Source organism: Homo sapiens, chromosome 7 (genome assembly GCF_000001405.40).
Source record: "Homo sapiens chromosome 7, GRCh38.p14 Primary Assembly".
Classification (NCBI taxonomy): domain Eukaryota; kingdom Metazoa; phylum Chordata; class Mammalia; order Primates; family Hominidae; genus Homo; species Homo sapiens.
Genome location: NC_000007.14, coordinates 56555513 through 56575981, shown reverse-complemented (window position 1 = coordinate 56575981; position 20469 = coordinate 56555513). Strand labels below are relative to the sequence as shown.

The window sequence follows — 20469 nt, the reverse complement described above, 5'->3', positions numbered from 1 at the left end:
AAGCTTAACTCAACTCTCCTGAAAGGATTTGGGAGCCTGTGTGCTTTACCCTGGCCTCACCTTGGAATCACATGGGGCAATTAATTAGAACAACATGAACGATTCCACCCAGAACAATAGGTAGAAGCAGTGGCGAGGGCACAGGGGATGGCATTTCTTCAAACTGGCCACACGCTCTTAAATGGAAGTTTAGGGTGAGAGCCACTTAGCTAAGCATTGCCTTTCAAGCTTTCATGTGCATATAAATTATTTGGTATTCCAGATCTCACTCACTGTAAGAAAATGCGATTCTGTTGGTTTGGAAGGGAGCTCATTAGTTAGCTTTTTTTTTTTTTTTTTTTTGAGACGGAGTCTTGCTGTGACGTGCAGACTGGAGTGCAGTGGTGCGATTTCGGTTCACTGCAACCTTCGCCTCCAGGGTTCAAGTGATTCTCCTGCCTTAGCCTCCTGAGTAACTGGAATTACAGGTGCCCGCCACTACGCCCGTCTAATAGTTTTGTGTGTGTGTGTGTGTGTGTGTGTGTCTATACATACATACATACATACATATATATATATATATATATATATATATATTTTTTTTTTTTTTTTTTTGTCTGAGACGGAGTCTCACTCTGTGGCCCAGGCTGGAGTGCAGTGGCGCCATGTTGGCTCGCTGCAAGCTCCGCCTCCCGGGTTCACGCCATTCTCCTGCCTCAGCCTCCCGAGGAGCTGGGACTACAGGTGCCCGCCACCACGCCCAGCTAATTTTTTTTGTATTTTTAGTAGAGACGGGGCGTAGGCGGGCGGATGACGAGGTCAGGAAATATTTGTATTTTTAGTAGAGACGGAGTTTCACCATATTGGCCAGGCTGGTCTCGAACTCTGCCCGCCTCAGCCTCCCAAAGTCCTGGGATTACAGGCATGAGCCACTGCACCCAGCCTTAGTTAGCTTTTTTAAAGTCCCCTGTTAATTCTGGTGTTTTCCCTCTAAACCCATTTTCATTACTACTCAGCTAGAGAAAGGCAGAGCACACAGAGTCCTCTACAACCAACTATCTTAACACAAGCTCTGTTGGTTCTCAGTGAAGACCACAGATCTTCAGCATTGAATGACCTTGACTTTTTTTTTTTTTTTTTTTTTTTGAGATGGAGTCGTGCTCTGTCGCCCAGGCTGGAGTGCAGTGGCACAATCTCGGTTCACTGCAACCTCTGCCTCCCGGGTTCAAGCGATTCTCCTGCCTCAGCTTCCCGAGTAGCTGGGATTACAGGTGCCCGCCACCACGCCCAGCTGGTTTTTGTATTTTTAGTAGAGACGTGTTTCACCATGTTGGTCGGGCTGGTCTCGATCTCCTGACCTCGTGATCCACCCGCCTCGGCCTCCCAAAGTGCTGGGATTACAGACATAAGCCACCGTGCCCAGACCTTTGACTTTTTTTTTTAAGCCTAGGCTTGAAGGCCATGCTGCCAGTCGGGTTGCAGTCACCACTCACAGCTCAAGATGCTCACCTGCCCCAACTTCCTGTGGCAGTAGTAGAGACTGTGCCTGCAGTGGTGTGCGAAGGGGGAAGAGGGGTCTCATTCTGTGTGCCTGAGCCGCTGCACAGAGGTTGTGCAGCTGGTGGGAGGGCATTTCACTCTTTATTTGCAGAGCTGAAGACAGTTTTCGCACCTGTTGAGAGCAAAATTACTTTTCACAGTCCCCAAGCAGGCAGCTCTTGGACTCTGAAAGTACAATGCTTTCATTTTTGTCCCAGTTTTGCCTTCTCGGTTCACTGAACTCTCCTCTTTCCCAGGAGCAGCACTCTGTAAGGGCCAAACTTCTGGGGAACTGCGTCATTCCTGGGTCCAGCCAGCTCTGTGCCACTGCAGCCCTCCAAGCTGGCACTGGCCAATGTCAGCGGCAGCTCCTGAGATGCAGAGATAGGGGAACTGAAGTTCACAGGGCTGGAGTCAGTCCCCTGATACCTGCATTTTCCCAGTGGCATCCTGACACAACCACTTGCATCTTGGTGGAATGTGAGTAGCACAGTATAAGTCCCCAGTCTGGTGCTATGCTCTCAAGAGTTCTTGAAATCAACAACCATGCTAGTGTCAGGGTTTATGAGAACAAAGGAGCTCTCCCACAGTTCAGACTCTGGCAGTCCACAGGAGAAATGTAGGCTGCGGAAACATTTCCCACGTACCCATCCTCAGCAATGCTGAGTCCCTCCAGGTTCCTAGCAGCTCTCTGCTGAGTTGGCCTCTTGCTTCCTTTTCCTTCGGTTCCTCAGGTTTTCTCCGTGAGTTCTCAGTTAGGTTCTAGTGTTCTTTCCTTGATATTCTGTTTGAGGTAAAATTACCAGTTCACAATATTTATTGTTCTTTCTAAGGAGAATTGGCATCCAATGTCACTAGTTTACCATCTTGAGCCCCTTTTCTTTTTTAAATATTTAATCTACATGTATGTTTTCACAACTACCATGCAATGTAACAATTATTTGATGTCAAGTTGTACAGATGTGCTATAATTTTTGTTACAGTTGTTACTGAATAATCTGATTTTGTTTCCTTTTTTGCACATTATTTAAAATATTAGATAGTGGATGAGATACTATCTCACACCAGTTATAAAGTTCAAAGGTAACAGATGCTGCTGCCAGGCATGGTGGTTCACACCTGTAATCCCAACACTTTGGGAGGCCGAGGCAGGTAGATCATAAGGTCAGGAGATTGAGACCATCCTGGCCAACATGGTGAAACCCCATCTCTACTAAAAATACAAAAATCAGCTGGGCGTGGTGGTGCACACCTGTAGTCCCAGCTACTAGGGAGGCTGAGGCAGGAGAATCACTTGAACTCTGGAGGCGGAGGTTGCAGTGAGCCGCCGAGATCGTGCCACTGGTTGCACTCCCGCCTGACACTCCAGCATGGCAACAGAGTGAGACTTCGTCTCAAAAAAAAAAAAAAAAAAAAAAAAAAAAAGAGCTGGTGTGGTGGCTTATGCCTGTAATCTCAGCACTTTGGGAGGCTGAGGTGGGCAGATCACCTGAGGTCGGGATTTCAAGACCAGCCTGGCCAGCATGGTGAAACCCCGTCTCTACTAAAAATACAAAATTAGCCAGGCATGGTGGCGGGCACCTGTAATTTCGGTTACTCAGGAGGCTGAGGCAGGAGAATTGCTTGAACCTGGGAGGCAGAGGATGCAGTGAGCCAAGATTGTGTCATTGCACTCCAGCCTGGGCAACAAGAGTGAAATTCGGTCTCAAAAAAACAAAAAGGTAACAGATGCTGCAAAGGTTGTGGTGGAAGTGGAATGCTTGTACACTGCTGATGGGAATGTAAATTAGTCCAGACATTGTGGAAAGCACTGTGGTGATTTCTCAAAGAACTACAAACAGAAGCACCATTTGACTGAGCAATTTCATTATTGGGTACATAACCAAAGAAATATAAATTATTTTATCATAAAGACACATGTATACACATATTCATTGCACCATTATTCGCAACAGCAATATCATGGAATCAACCTAAATGCACATCAACAGAAGACCAGATAAAGAGGTACATAGAACACCAGATAATGTGGTACATACACCATGGAATACTACATAATCATAAAGAAGAATGAGATCCAGTAATTTGCAACAACATGAGCTGCAGGTCATTATGATAAGTGAAATAAGCCAGGAAAGAAATGCAAACATTACATGTTCTCAATTATTTGTGGAAGCTAAAAATTAAACTCATGGAAATAGAGTAGAAGGATGGTTACTACAGGCTGGAGGGTGGTGGTGGGGGTTGGGAAGAAGCGGGGATAGTTAATGAATACAAAAAGTAGTTAGAACAAATGAAAAAGACCTAGTATTTGATAACACAACAAGGTGACTATAGTCAATAATAATTTAATTGTACATTTTATTATATCTAAGAGTATAATTGGATTATTTGTAACACAAAGAATAAATGCTTGAGAGGTGGATACTTCATTCCCCATGATATAATTATATATTGCATGTCTGTATCGACATCTCATGTATCCCATAAATATACACACAAATATAAATTTTAAAATATTTTTGGCCAGGTGCAGTGGCTCACGCTTGTAACTCCAGCACTTTGGGAGGCCAAGGCAGGCAGATTATGAGGTCAGGAGTTAGAGACCATCCTGACTAACACGGTGAAACCCCATCTCTACTAAAAATACAAAAAATTAGCCGGGCATGGTGGCACGCACCTGTAATCCCAGCTACTTGGGAGGCTGAGGCAGGAGAATCCCTTGAACCTGGGAGACGGAGGTTGCAGTGAGCAGAGATCATGCCACTGCACTCCAGCCTGGGCAACAGAGCAAGACTCTGTCTCAAAAAAGGAAAAATTATGAGGAATCATAATAATATTTTCATTGTTACAGCTACAAAATTTCTACAAATTTAACAATACAGATTCTTATATTTACTTTAACATTTTACCAAAATATGGAGTTAATAATTGAAAATGAAAGACAAAATAATGGCTGGAGCCTTGTGATGGGTACTCATGAATTTTTGTATAATTTCCATATCTTTGTTTACATTTTTAATTTCCATAATGAGTTGTAAATAAAAAATTTAAGTTATTTTTAATAAAAACCTTCAAACACTGAACATTAGCCATGTTACATAATTTAAAAAATAGGCAGATATCTTCTCATAAATTGTAGTAATAAATTTAGAGATTAGTATCAGATTTGGGTATTGAGATTGGTTTTGAAGAAGTGATGAATGTGCAGCAATAGGCTACTCTAACTGTAGAGACGGGTGCCATCAACCAACTTTATATTAGATTGCATCTCTGAATATTTTTAATTAATTAATTTTAATGATTTTTTAATTTAAAAATTTAATTAATTTTTAATTTTTAAAATGAATTGTTTTAATTCTATGATGACATAACTTGTTTCTAACCATCTGTGAGTTACAGTAGTCTTCTGTGAATGACTTCACTTTTCTAGTCTAGTAAAACCAGATGGTTCCTGTTCATAAATACTCCTTACAAACTGTTTTCTTTTTGCTTACGTAACCTCTATAATGTTTTTGGTTGCACTTGTGTCCTTTTGTGATATTTAAAGTATCTTCTTCTTTCTTTAATATTTATTAAATCAGCAGAAATAACTTTGGTGTTAAAAGTCTGTTACTTGGATTTCTTAAAGTCAGAAACTATTTTAATACTTTTGGCATGTTTATTTTTGATAGGCTTTAATGGGATATAATTTATATAATACAATGACATTGTAATTGTACAATATCAATGTATTTATTTATTTATTTATTTATTTAAGACAGAGTCTTGCTCTGTTGCCCAGTCTGGAGTGCAGTGGTGGGATCTTGGCTCACTGTAACTTCTGCCTCCTGGGTTCAAGCAATTCTCCTGCCTCAACCTCCCGAGTAGCTGGGACTACAGGCATGCGTTACTACGTCAGCCTAATTTTTTTGTACTTTTAGTATAGATGGAAGTCTCATCATGTTGGTCAGGCTGGTCTCAAAATCTTGGTCTCAAATGATCCACCCGCCTCAGCCTCCCAAAGTGCTGGGATTATAGGCATGAGCCACCGCACCCAGCCTGTTTTTAATATTTTAACAGAGTTACATACTAATAGTCACAACTAACTTTAAAATATGTTCATCATCTCAGAGTAAAATCTATCTTGTTTTCATTCACTCTCCACCATCACCCAGGCCTTAGACATCTATTAATTTATTTTCTATCAATGAGCTTTTTATGGACTCTTTTTATATATGGAATTATACATTACATAATCTTTTTGAAACCTAGTTTGTTTCACTTAGTTTACTATTTTTGAGGTTTATTTCCAATGTAGCATGGATTATTGCTTAATTCCCTTTGAATGCTGAGGATTTTATTGCATAAATATGACACATATTTTTTCACTAGCTGGTGGACATTTGGATGGTATTCCCCTTTGGCTCTTATAAACATTGCTGCTGTGAACATTCACATGCAAGTCTTTGTGTGACTTAGATTTTCATTTCCTTTGCATACATATGTGGAGAAAAATTTCTGGGCCATGTGGCAATTCTGTGTTTAAAATTTTGAAGAACTGCCAAATTGTTTTACAAAATGACTACATTATTTTACCTTTCCAGCTGCAATGCATAGAAATTCCATACTTTCCAGATTTGCTGACACTTGTTATTGTCTCTTTGTCATAGCCAATATAGTGTGTTCATTGTTATCTCATTGTCATTTGATTTTTATTTTCCTAGTAGGAAATTATATTGAGCATATTTTTATGTTCATATTAGCAATTTGCCTATCTTCTTTGGTAAAACATATATTCAAGCCCCTTGACCATTTTTAATTGGTAATTTGTCCTTTTATTTGACATATAAGAGTTTTGTTTTGGTTTTGTTTATATTCCGGATACTAGAGCCTAAGAAGATATATAATTTGAAATATTTTCTCTCATTATGCAGCTTAGATTATATATTCTTCTTGGTGTTTGAAAAAAATGTTTCTCAATTTGATGAAGTTTATCAGTTTCTTCTTGATTATGCTTTTTTGTGGTATTATTTAAGAAATCCTTAGTTGCCAGGGAGCGGTTGCCATAGAGCTGAGCAGTTGTCCGCGTGCGCAGGTGGAAGTCCCAGATTGAGATGCCACCATTTTTGCTGCCCGGACATGGAACCAGAGGCTGAGAGAGTCAGAGACACTATCTGCTTCCGTCCGTCGCACAGACCCTGTGGGAGCCTCTGCCACTATGGGTGATCAAGAGGATCTGGTGGCTGGGCGCGGTGGCTCATGCCTGCAATCCCACCACTTTGGGAGGCCAAAACAGGCGGATCACGAGGTCAGGAGACCATCCTGGCTAACACGGTGAAACCCCGTCTCTACTAAAAATACAAAAAATTAGCGGGGAGCGGTGGCGGGTGCCTGTAGTCCCAGCTGCTCGGGAGGCTGAGGCAGGAGAATGGCGTGTACCTGGGAGGCAGGGCTTGCAGTGAGCCGGCGCCATGCACTCCAGCCTGGGCGACAGAGCGAGACCATCTCCAAAAAAAAAAAAAAAAAAATAGAGGATCTGCTACCAGGCAAAGCAGGCCAGCAGGCTGAGCAATACAACGTGCTTTGGAAGTGAACCCGCAGTATCTTCCAAGAAATAGTGTAGTCAATGAAGAAAGTAGCAGGGATGGATGTGGAGCTGACAGTTGAAGAAAGAAACCTCCTATCTGTTTCATATAACAATGTGATTGAAGCTAGAAGAGCCTTCTGGAGAATAATCAGCATTGAACAGAAAGAAGAAAACAAGGGAGAAGACAAGCTAAAAATGATTTGGGAATATCAGCAAATGGTTGAGACTGAGCTAAATTTAATCTGTTGTCACTTTCTGTATGTACTGGACAAAACCTCATTCCAGCAGCTAACACTGGTGAGTCCAAGGTTTTCTATTATAAAATGAAAGGGGACTACCACAGGTATCTGGCAGAATTTGCCACAGGAAATGACAGGAAGGAGGCTGTGGAGAACAGCCTAGTGGGTTATAAAGCTGCTAGTGATATTGCTATGACAGAACTTCCACCTGCGCATCCTATTCGCTTAAGTCTTGCTCTCAATTTTTCCTTATTCTACTACGAAATTCTTTGTTTTTCTGTTTGTTTGTTTGTGTGTTTTGTTTTGTTTTGAGAGGGAGTCTTGCTCTTTCACCCAGGCTGGAGAGCAGTGGCGCTATCTCGGCTCACTGCAAGCTCCGCCTCCCAGGTTCACGCCATTCTCTTGCCTCAGCCTCCCGAGTAGCTGGGACTACTGGCGCCCACCACCGCTCCCGGCTAATTTTTTGTATTTTTAGTAGAGACGGGGTTTCACCGTGTTAGCCAGGATGATCTCGATCTCCTGACCTCGTGATCCACCCGCCTCGGCCTCCCAAAGTGCTCTACTATGAAATTCTTAAGTCCCCTGACCATGCCTGCAGGTTGGCAAAAGCAGCTTTTGATGATGCAATTGCAGAACTGGATACGCTGAGTGAAGGAAGCTATAATGACACTATGGACTTCAGGCATGCAGGGTGATGGTGAAGAACAGAATAAAGAAGCGCTGCAGGACGTGGAAGATGAAAATCAGTGAGACATAAAAGCCAACAAGAGAAACCATCCCTGACCCCCCCACTCTTCCCCATCCCACCCACCCCTTGGAAAGTCCCCATTGTCACTAAGAACCACCAAATCTGACTTTTACATTTGGCCTCAGAATTTAGGTTCCTGCCCTGTTGTTGTTTTTTGTGGGATTTGTGTGTGTGTGTGTGTGTGTGTGTGTGTGTGTGTGTGTTTTGTTTGTTTGTTTGTTTTTTAACAGTTTTCAAAAGTTCTTAAAGTCAAGAAGTGAATTTCTGTGGATTTTACTGGTCCCAGCTTTTAGGTTCTTTAAGACACTAACAGGACCGCAGAGGCTTTTTCAGCATTACTGTATTGTCTCCGTGCCAGATGTGGCAAGATTACCATTAGAAATGGAAATTACGTTTGAAAGCCATTAAGACTTCTAGGTGATGCAAGCATCTAAGGGAGATGTTAATCACACTATAGAGGCATTAAGTGGTATCATTTTTCAGTTTTTCTAATTGTTTGAACCGTATTTTATACCAAATGTTTCAAAGTAATTGGGTGTTAGCTTGAGATGGTTAAACGTTGTTTGCGGAGGGAGGAGTTGTAATGGTTTTGCTGTAAAAAGTGTTTCAAACTCTGCTGAAATATTACTAGAAAGCATGGTGCTGGTAACAGTTCAACAATCGTGGCTGCTCATTCTTGCCTACTTTTACTTCACTCCTCCCCTCTACTAGCTCAATCTCTTTTGTTCAGTATATGTAACTGGAAGCTAATTTGTACTACTGGATATCTGACTGGAGCCACAGACACAGAATCTGTATCATTCTTACTGAAACACAGTATGGAATTAACATTAAATAAAACAAACCTAAATGTAAAAAACAAACAAAAGAAATTAATACAAGATTATAAAAATTTACTTCTATGTTTCTTGTGAGAAATTTGTCATTTTAGCTCTTACATTTAGCCTTACAGCTTACATTAAGTACTTCTGTATGTTTGATTTGAGATAGGGGTCTAACTTTTTATTTTAAATGTTTATAGCCAATGTTCTTAGAAAAATTCCCAGAAAAGATGTTTCTTCCACATTTAAATTTTTTGGAACTATTGTGAATATTAATTTGCCATAAATCAATGTGTTTTTTAATGGATTTTTTTTGAGATAGTCATTTTTTTTTTTGATACGGTCGCTCTGTTGCCCAGGCTGGAGTGCAATGGTGCAATCGCGGTTCACTGCAACCTCTGACTCCCGGGTTCAAGCGATTCTCCTGCCTCAGCCTTCCGAGTAGCTGGGATTACAAGCATATGCCACCACACCTGGCTAATTTTTTTGTATTTGTAGTAGAGATGGCATTTCACTATGTTGGCCAGGCTGGTCTTGAACTCCTGACCCCAGTGATCCACCTGCCTCGGCCTCCGAGAGTGCTGGGATTTCAGACATGAGCCACCGCGCCCAGCTGGATCTTCAAATATATTCTATTAATTATGTGAATCTATCTTTGATAATAAGAATTTATATCAAAAAGTATAAATTGTTTTTAAAGACTTTTGTGTATTTGGTATTCTGTGCACATTTATATTGTTTTTTAAAATCATTTTTTAGAGACAGGGTCTCACTCTGCCACTCAGACTGGAGTGAGGTGGATCAATCAAAGCTCACTGTTACCTCAAACTCCTGTGCTCAAGCAATTCCACCACCTCAGCCTCCCAAGTAGGTGGGACTATACGCATGCACTACCATATCCAGCTAATTTTATTTTTTTATCATTGTAGACACAGTACCTTCCTATGTTGCCCAGGCTCTTTTTCAACTACAGGCCTCAAGCAGTCCTCCAACCTCAGCCTCCCAAAGCCGCCAAGCCCAGCTTATCTATATTTGTTTTTTGGAAGAACTTGTCAATTTCCACTAGAACTAGTTAAAAATTTGAAGAGATTTTATTGAATCTGTAGATCTGTGAGATATTATAATCTTAAAAATGGTAATTGATTATTTAATGTATGTTAATGTATTCAGTTCTATGATTTTTCTGAATTAAGAAATCGAGTGTAATACATTTGTACTTCTTTTTAAAACTTTGTTAATATTTCTGTTTATTGCTATTATAAATGATTTTTTTCTTTATTTCATTTTCATTGATTTATTTCATCTATAACTGCAACTTAATTTTGTTTTCTGATCTTTCATTTTGTGACATTAATTAACTTTATAGTTTTAGGGATATTTTATTGAACCCCTTATATATTTTTATATAGAAAATTATATCATCTGCAAAAAAAGACAGTTTTGTTATTTTTCAATCTGGAGAATTTTTTTCATTTTTGTCATATATTTTGTTGTATAATAACTCTAGTGTTGTGAGTTAGAAAGTATAAATTTCTTTTCAGTTTTTGAAAGTTTTTTTAAACAATTGATATTATTTATTAAATGTTCATTGAATTTGACACATAAGATATCAGGCTGTAAACTTTTCTTTGTGGAAATATTTTTAATTAATACTTTACTTGTTACATGATTATATATACATATATTCATATCTACTTTCTTTTTTATTTTTAATTGTTACAGATACATAATAGTTGTGTATCTTTATGTAATACGTGTGATAGTCTGATACAAGCATATAATATGTAATAATCAAATCAGGGGAATTAGAATATGCATCACCTAAAACATACTTCATTTATTTTTGTTACAGACATTCTCTGGGAAGCATATCTTGTTTCTTAATTTTACTTTCATAATTTGTGACTACCAATTTATTCCTATTTTGTGGCATTCTATGTGTAATAAACGTTTAGGTAAGTAACATAAAAATAGAAATAATAATATAGAATAAGTCTTTTGTCCAATAAATAACCCAAAGATTGCTTTGTTGTAAGATGAAGAACATAACTGTATTTTTATCCTTAATGCTTATACTTATTATTTGAGGCAATAAAAATCTCAATCAAATCCAAATTAGTAAAACTGACATGTAACTTTGGCTTTTATCAAGAGGGCAGATTGAATTGGCCCCATAAATTTCATAAAAATTTTTTAAAGACAGGAAATTAATTTTAATAATAATAAATGCAAAACAATATTGTATTTGAATGATAATATGGAAAAGATAATTTGATAAATTACAGAGGTTACTACTTAGCATAGATGAATATATGAAGAAACTAATATCTGTAATTTATCTTTAATAAAGATGAAAATTCCGCCTTTTTCAACAACATTGATGAACCATGAAGACATTATGTTAAGTGAAATAAGTCAGATACAGAAAGACAAGTACTGCATGATTTCACATTTATGTGAAATCTTTAAAAACTCCAACTCATAGAAACAAGAATAATGATTACTATAGGCTAGGATGTGGGAGGAAATGACAAGGTATCAGTCTAAAGATACATACTTACAGCTATAAAATAAATAAATGTTGAGAATGCAACATACAGACTGGTGACTATAGTTAATAATACTGTATACTTAAAATTTTTTCAAAATCAAATCTCAAGTAATCTTACCACTCATATCCACTCACACACAGACACACAAAGTAACTATGTAAAGTGATAAATATGTTAACTAGCTTAACCGAGGTAATTAAAAAATATATAAACATGTCTCAAAACATCATATTCTACATCCTAAATATATATACTTTTAGTTTGTCAATTATACCTCAATAAATGTAAAAAAAAGTTAAAGGTAACAAGTACTATCTAGCCACGGGTAAACTCCACTTAAAACCTTTTTCAACATCTTCTGGATTAAATAAAAAATCTAAATCCAACTACGTTTTTGATATCAGGGAAGTGCTGTGAGAAATAATAGTAATTGTAGAAAAAAAATCTGAATTAAGGTAAATAACCCATATTAGCTTTCTATGATATAAAACAGTAATTCTGGCTATATATTCGTTGGAGTGTTTCTGAAATTTGTGCATAATACGTATACAATACATACATAATAGTAAAAAGTAATCACACTTCACAAATTACTACAATATGATGTATTGGGAAGGAGGTCTTCTACATCAAGAGACTTGAGATTTCACACGAGATGATGTTTTATGTCATAGACTATGCCACATTTTACTAATGTATGCAACTGTTGCTATTTATGCTTTTCAGGAAAATAATATATATTTTTTAAACATTTAATACAATTAAAATTGTCAGGAAGTTAAAACAATCCATATTATGCTAAATATAGTTGAAGAAAAATATAAATTCCCAGGACCAGAAGTAAATGAAGGGAATAATCCCAGTGGAGTAGTCAACCTAAGAAGCACGTGCTCTATTCAGACAGGACTAATCACAAGAACGTCAGATTCATGTGGGTTGTTCAACTTCCAACAAGGCAAATGGAATCAGCGAATAAATATACAGACTGGTGACAATCCAAGTATGACATCTTCCATATGTGAAAACTAAGTTATGCATTATGTTGCACACAATTAGATAAACCACCATGATGAAGGGTCGAAAGAAATTATATGGTACATAAACATCAGATATTTAGCTTATGTTTAAATATTTGTCAATACAATGAAAAAACAGCCAAAGTAATGGGCAAAGAAAAAAAAAACGATAAGCTTCTCAAGTCATATCTGAAAAAAAAAAACAAATTGAAAGTAAGCTATTACAAATGTGGTGAAACAGTGTAATGTACAACATATGGGTTACATATTAAAATACACTGAGCTGACGAGAGGCCAATAAAATCGAATACTAAGCAAAATTGATATAGTTACATATTTTACAGAAGGCAAGTTAATAGAGAATGAAATTATTCATATATGAAGATTGGATTGAGAAGAAATGAACATCTAATTCCTTTACTAGACTATATAAACAAAAAATATTTAAAGAATTGGTGATTAAATAGTTTCTAAAACTGAAAATCTTTAAATCCTTTAGAAGTTTACAAGTGTAATGTGTCAAAAGAGATGAAAAAATCTTAAGTGAAGTAATAGTTTGGCTAGCATGATTAGTGCTGCAATAAACAGCCTCTTTGACATACTGATTTTATTTCCTTTTGAAATACATTGATTGAAATTGCCAGTATTGAAACTGCTGAATCATAGGGTAGTTCTATTTTTAAGTTTTAGAAGAATCTCCATACTGTTTTTGCTAAAACAGGATAATAACCTGTCATTTGCAGCAACATGGATGTACCTGGAGGACATTATGTTAATTAAAATATGCCAAGCATAGAAAGACAAACATCACATGATATCATTTTTGTGTAAAATTTAAAGCTGATCTCATGGAAGCAGAGTAAAATGGTGGTTACCAGAGGCTGGAAATGATGTGGAGAGGAAGGGATGAGAACAGGTTTGCCAATGAATGCAACTTACCATTTAACAGAAAGAATAGGCTGGGCGAGGTGGCTCACACCTATAATCCTAGCACTTTGGGAGGCCGAGGCAGGTGGATCACTTGAGGCCAGGAGTTCGAGACCAGCCTGGCCAACATGGTGAAACCCCATCTCTACTAAAAATACAAAATTTAGCTGGTCATGGTGGTAAATGCCTGTAATCCCAGCTACATGGAAGGCTGCGAGACAAGAATTGCTTGAACCCAGGAGGCGGAGGTTGCCGTGAGTCGAGATTGCACAACTGCACTCCAGCCTCAGTAACAAGGCGAGACTCTGTCTCAAAAATAAATAAATAAATAAATTTTTGTGTTATATTACACAGTAGCTTGACTATAACTAATAATAATATATTATTACATGGGTTAAGTTAGCTAGAAGAGAGAATTTTGTGTGTTATCAGCACAGAGAAATAACAAATGTTGAAAACAATGGATATGTTAATTATTCTAGTTATATCATTATACAATGAATAAATGCACTGAAATATCACACTGTATCTATAAATGTGTACAATTATATGTCAATTTTAAATAAAATAAACCTTAATTTTAAAAAGGTCAAACTTCATAACACCAACATGAAAAAAAAAGCTCATAAAAGCAGTGAGAGCAAAATGTCTCACCTTTGTATAAAACCAGAAAACAGAAAAAAAGTTAATAAAATATTAATAAAAGTTTCTACATGGCATAGAAAACCATTAACAGAGTGAAAAGACAAACTACAGGCCAGGCGTGGTGGCTCACGCCTGTAATCCCAGCACTTTGGGAGTCCAAGGCGGGCAGATTACTTGAGGTCAGGAGTTCGTGACCAGTCTGGCCACCATGGTGAAACCCCATCTCTACTAAAAATACAAAAAATTAGCCGGACATGGTGGCAGGTGCCTGTAATCCCAGCTACTCCGGAGGCCGAGGTGGGAGAATCGCTTGAGCCTGCCCGGGAGGCAGAGGTTGCAGTGAGCTGAGATCGTGCCACTGCACTCCAGCATGGGCAACAAGAACGAGACTCTGTCTCAAAAAAAAAAAAAAAAAAAAGAGAAGAGAAGAAAAAAGACAAACTACAGAATGGGAGAAAACATGTGCAAACGACAAGGGGTTAATATCCAAAATATGTAAAGGGCTCAAATAACTCAACAGCAGAAATAATAATCATAATCACCCAGTTTTAAGATGAGCAAAAACCTGAATAGATATTTCTCAAAACAAGATATATATATAGTCGACAGGTGTATGAAAAAATGCTCAATATCACTAGACATCAGGGAAATGTAAATTAAAGTAATAGAGTTGTTAAATTAGCGTGGTCATTATAAAAAAGACAAAAGATAACAAGTGTTGGTAATACGTGGAGAAAAGGAAACCCTCATGCACTGTTGGTTTGAATGCCGATTAATACAGCCATTACGTAAAAAAGTAGAGGTTTCCCAAACTAAAAATAAAACTACTGTATGAACCAGCAATTCCACTACTGGGAGTATATACAAAGGAAATAAAACCAGTATGTTAAAGAGATATCTTCATTCCCATATTTATCACAGCACTAATGACAATAGCCAAGATATGGAATAATCATAGTGTCCATCGAGGGACAAACAGATAAAGAAAACATGGCATAGAAACCCAAATGAAATGCTATTTATCTACATAAATAATGAAATCCTGCCATTGAAAACAACATATATGGGCTGGGCATGGTAGCTCACGCCTGTAATCCCAACACTTTGGGAGGCTGAGGTGGGCAGATCACCTGAGGTCAGGAGTTCGAGACCAGCCTGGCCAACATGGTGAAACCCCATCTCTACTAAAAATACAAAAATTAGCCAGGTGTGGTGGCAGGAACCTGTAATCCCAGCTACTTAGGAGGCTGAGGCAGGTGAATCACTTGAACTCGGGAGGCAGAGGTTGCAGTGAGCAGAAGTCACACCTTTGTACTCCTGACTGGGCAACAAGAGTGAAACTCCATCTCAAAAAAAAAAAAAGAAAGAAAAATTAGTGTTTCCTGTATAAAGGTAAAATTAAGAAGTGAGAGACATGCTTGGGGAATATTAAATCATGGGGGAAACTGAACTGAGGACACCAAACTGAGGACACCATGTAGTTCTTAGCACCAGGAAATTTTAAAAATATTGAGATAGGCTGGACATAGTGGTTCACACCTGTAATTCCAGCAGTTTGGGAGGCCGAGGTGGGCTGATCACTTGAGGTCAGGAGTTCAAGAACAGCCTAGCAAACATGGCGAAACCCTGTCTTTACTAAAAATACCAAAAAAAAAAAAGAAAGAAAAGCTGAGCATGGTGGCACATGCCTGTAGTCCCAGCTACTCGAGAGGTTGAAGCAGGAGAATTGCTTGAACCCGGGAGGCGGAGGCCGTAAGGAGCCGAGATCACACCACTGCACTCTAGCCTGGATGACAGAGTGAGACTCCATCTCAAAAAAAAAAAAAATTAGATATTACAAAAGTGCAATTCCACATGTTTTATTTAAATCAGATAGCAAATTTTGTTTTTGAATAATTTAATTGATGACGACAAAATAAATATCACCAACTTGTTAAAAATGGATGGCACTTCCAATGAACCTTTGGCAGAATACTGATGATTCTTTTATCAGATCTGATTAGCACCATAGGACTGACAGTGGCATAGGCATTGACCATAAACTTGTGGACACTGTAGATGACAGGACTGAATACCCATAACAACATTGTGGAGGATGAGACAAGTCCAATGAGTACATAACCAGAAAGAAACTCACCAGCAGCAAGATGGTTTTGGTGGCCCTTTTCTCTGGGGAGGTTCTTAATAAAAAGCTAGTGCTGTGAAGGTGCTGGGAGCGCCTCTGATGCCTGGACAAGAGAATCACCATGTAGGCACTTGAGAGCAGCATGATTCCTACAAGGAAGACATCTCTGGATAACGACAGAGTAACAAACAGCCTTCTGATGATGACATTTATTGGGGAAAGTGAGCAGTATTTATTGACATTCAGTATTATCTGGGTCACATTGGAAAAACCTACAATGTAACTTATCATGTCACTGTTGAAAGACAAATTGAGGGACCAAAAAAAGAGTAAACCCAGGATATTGTGTTTTGTGATTTTATGTTTAAATCTCACCAACCAGGAAGTGCTGGGGCTAATGGTGATGGCCTGAAGCATGCTCAGGAGAGAGGTGTTGCAGATAGAGAGGACCCTAATTGTATGTGTAGAACACAGCCTTACATCTGAAGTTATTCTGAAATTTCAGTGATTCAAACACGTCTGGAGACAATAACTCTGCTGCAATGACTAGCATCACTATGTGGGCAAAGGCCAAGTGACAGATGATCAGGTCATGGTTTTTAGGCTTGTGATCCTTAAAGAATGTGAAAATGTGCCAGAGAGGAAGAAAGATGTTGGCTGAGATTCCAATGCCAGCTTGAAAATAAAAGGCCTTTTTGAAAGATAACATGTGAAATGTGTGTTCATCCTAATGACATAGAAGAAACGTTTTGAAGACCTGAAAAAAATAGATCTGTGTCATCAGTGTTCTTTTGTCAGCGTTCAAAATGATTACCATTATCATTATTTTTATTTTACTCTCATTTTCTTGATAACCCCATCTTATATAAATTCTTGATAATGTGTCTCCTGTACTATTTTCTAAACCAAATAAATGTATACATATATAATGATTATGAATCTCTATATATAATAAATACGTTTTCAATTTTGCCTGTCTAAGGTGCATACTATCTATGTTCCTCATGTACCTTGGCATTCATCTGAATAATCATATCCTTATTCTATGTTCTCTCATTTAATATTTAGCACTTCAGTTGGGCATATAAAATGAATAGTATTTGTACAGTTGAATTGAATTAAATGAATGTTAATGTGAAAAGACTCACTACAACAATTAAAAATACATTCGAGTCTTTCTCACGATCTATCATTTGATACAATTTATTCGTCATCACTCTTCCATGATTTTTGACCCTTGTGATTTTACTGGACTCACCATGATAAATACATGATATTTCATCAGCATAATAGCAATTTTCATCCTGTCTGCACCCTTATATTCTCTTTGTCATGAATTGTAATGTGTAATGTGATATCTTGGAATTCAAATGTCAATATCCTTATAGGGATTGGGGGACATTATTCTGCTTAATCAAACCCTAATTTACTACATATAATATAGAAATGGTTCTGGCTATCTCAGTTTAGTTCACATCCCAGAGATTTATTATGTGATCTCTCTTTTCTCAGAACATATTTTTTAATATTTTCCTCTCAGGTACCAACAAAATAAACACACCCTTTTTTTTTTTTGAGACAGAGTCTTACTCTGTCACCCAGGCTGGAGTGCAGTGGCATGATCTCTCCTCACTGCAAACTCTGCCTCCTGGGTTCAAGTAATTCTCCTGCCTTAGCCTCCCAAGTGGCGCTCACCACTACACCAGCTAATTTTTGTATTTTAGTAGAGAAGATTTTACCATGTTGACCAGGCTGGTCTCAAACTTCTGACCTCCTAAAGTGCTAGGATGACAGGCGTGGGCCATGGAGCAGCCACCGAGCCTGGCCACTACTTTTAATTACTTTGTTTCACCATAAAGTTGCATCAGAATGTCACATGTTGGTCTTCTTCCTGAGATTTCACTTAATACAGAGGTACTCTACCATGCCTAGAAAAATACTTAAGTCTTAGTCTGAGTATTCAATAAGAATACTAAGTCTTCGGTTAGACTTAGTATTCAATAAGATAAAAAATACTTCAATAAGATCTTCAATAAGATCAAAATACTTAGTCTTCAATGAGAAAGATAATTCTGCTCAAGTTTTCTTGGGATAACTTCAATAATATAACACCTTGTAAAATTTTGCGGAACAATTTTGCAGTCACCATTTCATGTTACTTTGCCAAGATTCAGAAGTCATTTATCATTTTACTTTAATCCAGGGCTAAGAACAATTTAGCTTCATGACATTAAAAAAGTGAAACACCATTAAATTCACTCGGATTTGTTTTAAATGAAAGTGTGTCTGATTCCAGGTCACTTATCATTATACAATTCCATAAATAAAAATATATGAGATGATGCAAAAATATTGACATTGAGAATCCTTAGTTAATAATAAAAAATTAGTGACTGAGAAAAAGTTGCTCTAAAACCACCAGATATGTTTGATTTTATAAAGGAAACATCTAGTTGATTAAATGGTTATTACTCTTTCTACAAAACATTAATAAGTAAATGCATTTATCTTAGAAACAATGAAAGATTTCCACCAGCACACATCTACACCATCAGCGCAGTTCAGTTCTCCTGTCAAGTTAACATCAGGAAAAAAAAAATGAAGTAATTTTAAATTAAAGGCTTAATGGTATCCAAATTTTAAGGATCACATTTTAGTACTAGAAAAATATATTTGAACATGAGACAATAATATATGTATAATGAGTTATTAACTATATATCTGTATAGTTTTATTAATATAACCCACATATTATGAACCACACACCAAAATAAGATATAGGACAAATAGATTAAATAACATAGATAAGAATTTTAATACTTTATTTTTTCACCCTAAAAAACATCCAGCTTATGCTCTCTAATTCATTCTCCTTACTCTGTAAATAACCTAAACACACTGAAACAGAATAATCTTCTGCTTGATCAGATGGTGCATCTTCCCACTGAGGCTCTTGAGAGCATTGATGCTGATCCCAGACGAGATCAGCAATCTTGGTTGTCACAATCTTGGTTGTCATAAATTAGAGGACACAGATAGAGTATGATTAAATTGATTATATCTTCAAAAATTTTTCTCACCTGCCAGAGCTAAACAATTGTTAATTGCCTTTAACATATTGCAGAAGTCATTTTTAATTCAAATATTAAATTCAGCTGTACTCTATATTGTTATTTCATAAGTCTGGCAACTATACCATAGAAGAATTATGGAATTTGCATTAATATGATGCCAAAGTAGATGAAACAAAATAGGGTAAAAATTCATAGATGCTACTTTTAGGTTGTTCAGAGTGCAAAGAAAAATTTTGTTCCATGTGACCCATTAAAAATTTCAAAATCTAAATGTACAGCTTAGCTCTTGGCATTAGAAGTGACAACCTAAGGCCGCTGGGGCTGAGGGTGAAGCTCCTGAGCACTCTCCATAAACACATAATGCAGCTCAAGTTTATTCTCATTATACTGCCTTTCACTTTAGTGTATTTCAATTCTTAAGTCCCAAAGTGTAAAAATAATAATGTATAATAGGGGAATAACACACCATTATACTGACCAGGAATGAAAATCTGATCATAAAAAACAGAAGCTTAGATCAGACATCTGAACCAAAGATAAAGGGTATATAAAAGGAAAAAGCCACTTAACAGGAATCCAAAAGCTGTTTTGCATATGATGGATATGTTATTTGTAGAAAAAGAAGTTTGATAAAATAACTTCCTCATCTTTATTATAAAATATAGTTGTTTAGTATTGTTATTTTATTAATAATATTATTTGAATAGTGATGTTTGCACTGTCCCTTGTGTAGTTTTAAAATATAATCTATATAAATCTAAAATGTTTTTATTATATTAATAAAAAATGTCATTTTTATCGTACATTTCACAACATTCATTGAGCAGCCTTGTTGGACCTAAAAAATTTAGGTGCCAGGGAGAAGGGGTTTGTTGTTAAGTGGCAATAAATGGCAAACTGAAAAATACAGCTGGCAAATTTAGAAAAGAAAAAATGTTTGCACCAAGATTAGGCCTGTTAAAAGAAGTTTTATAAAATACACAGAGACTAAAATAATAAATATGGTAAGTATCAGATGCATTGAATGATTGTAATGCATCTGCCACTCTTTGGAAGTTGAAATTAGTGTAGACTGCAGCTAGAAGCACAATGCTTGCTGACACGGTATTTATAATTTTAAGACATTTAATTCCCAGCTAGCTCGAAGGAAAAAATAAGTAGGAAAGTTATTACTTTAAATGTAGGCAATAGAAAAATACTGGAGGGTCTTGATCACAAATTCTACACTACCAATT

The 20469-nt window shown here is 37.1% G+C and overlaps 2 pseudogenes; one reads left to right on the top strand and one right to left on the bottom strand.

Moving 5' to 3' along the window:
- LOC100130210 (tyrosine 3-monooxygenase/tryptophan 5-monooxygenase activation protein epsilon pseudogene) lies at positions 7030-8230 on the top strand (annotated as a pseudogene).
- Positions 15958-16869, bottom strand: VN1R25P (vomeronasal 1 receptor 25 pseudogene; annotated as a pseudogene).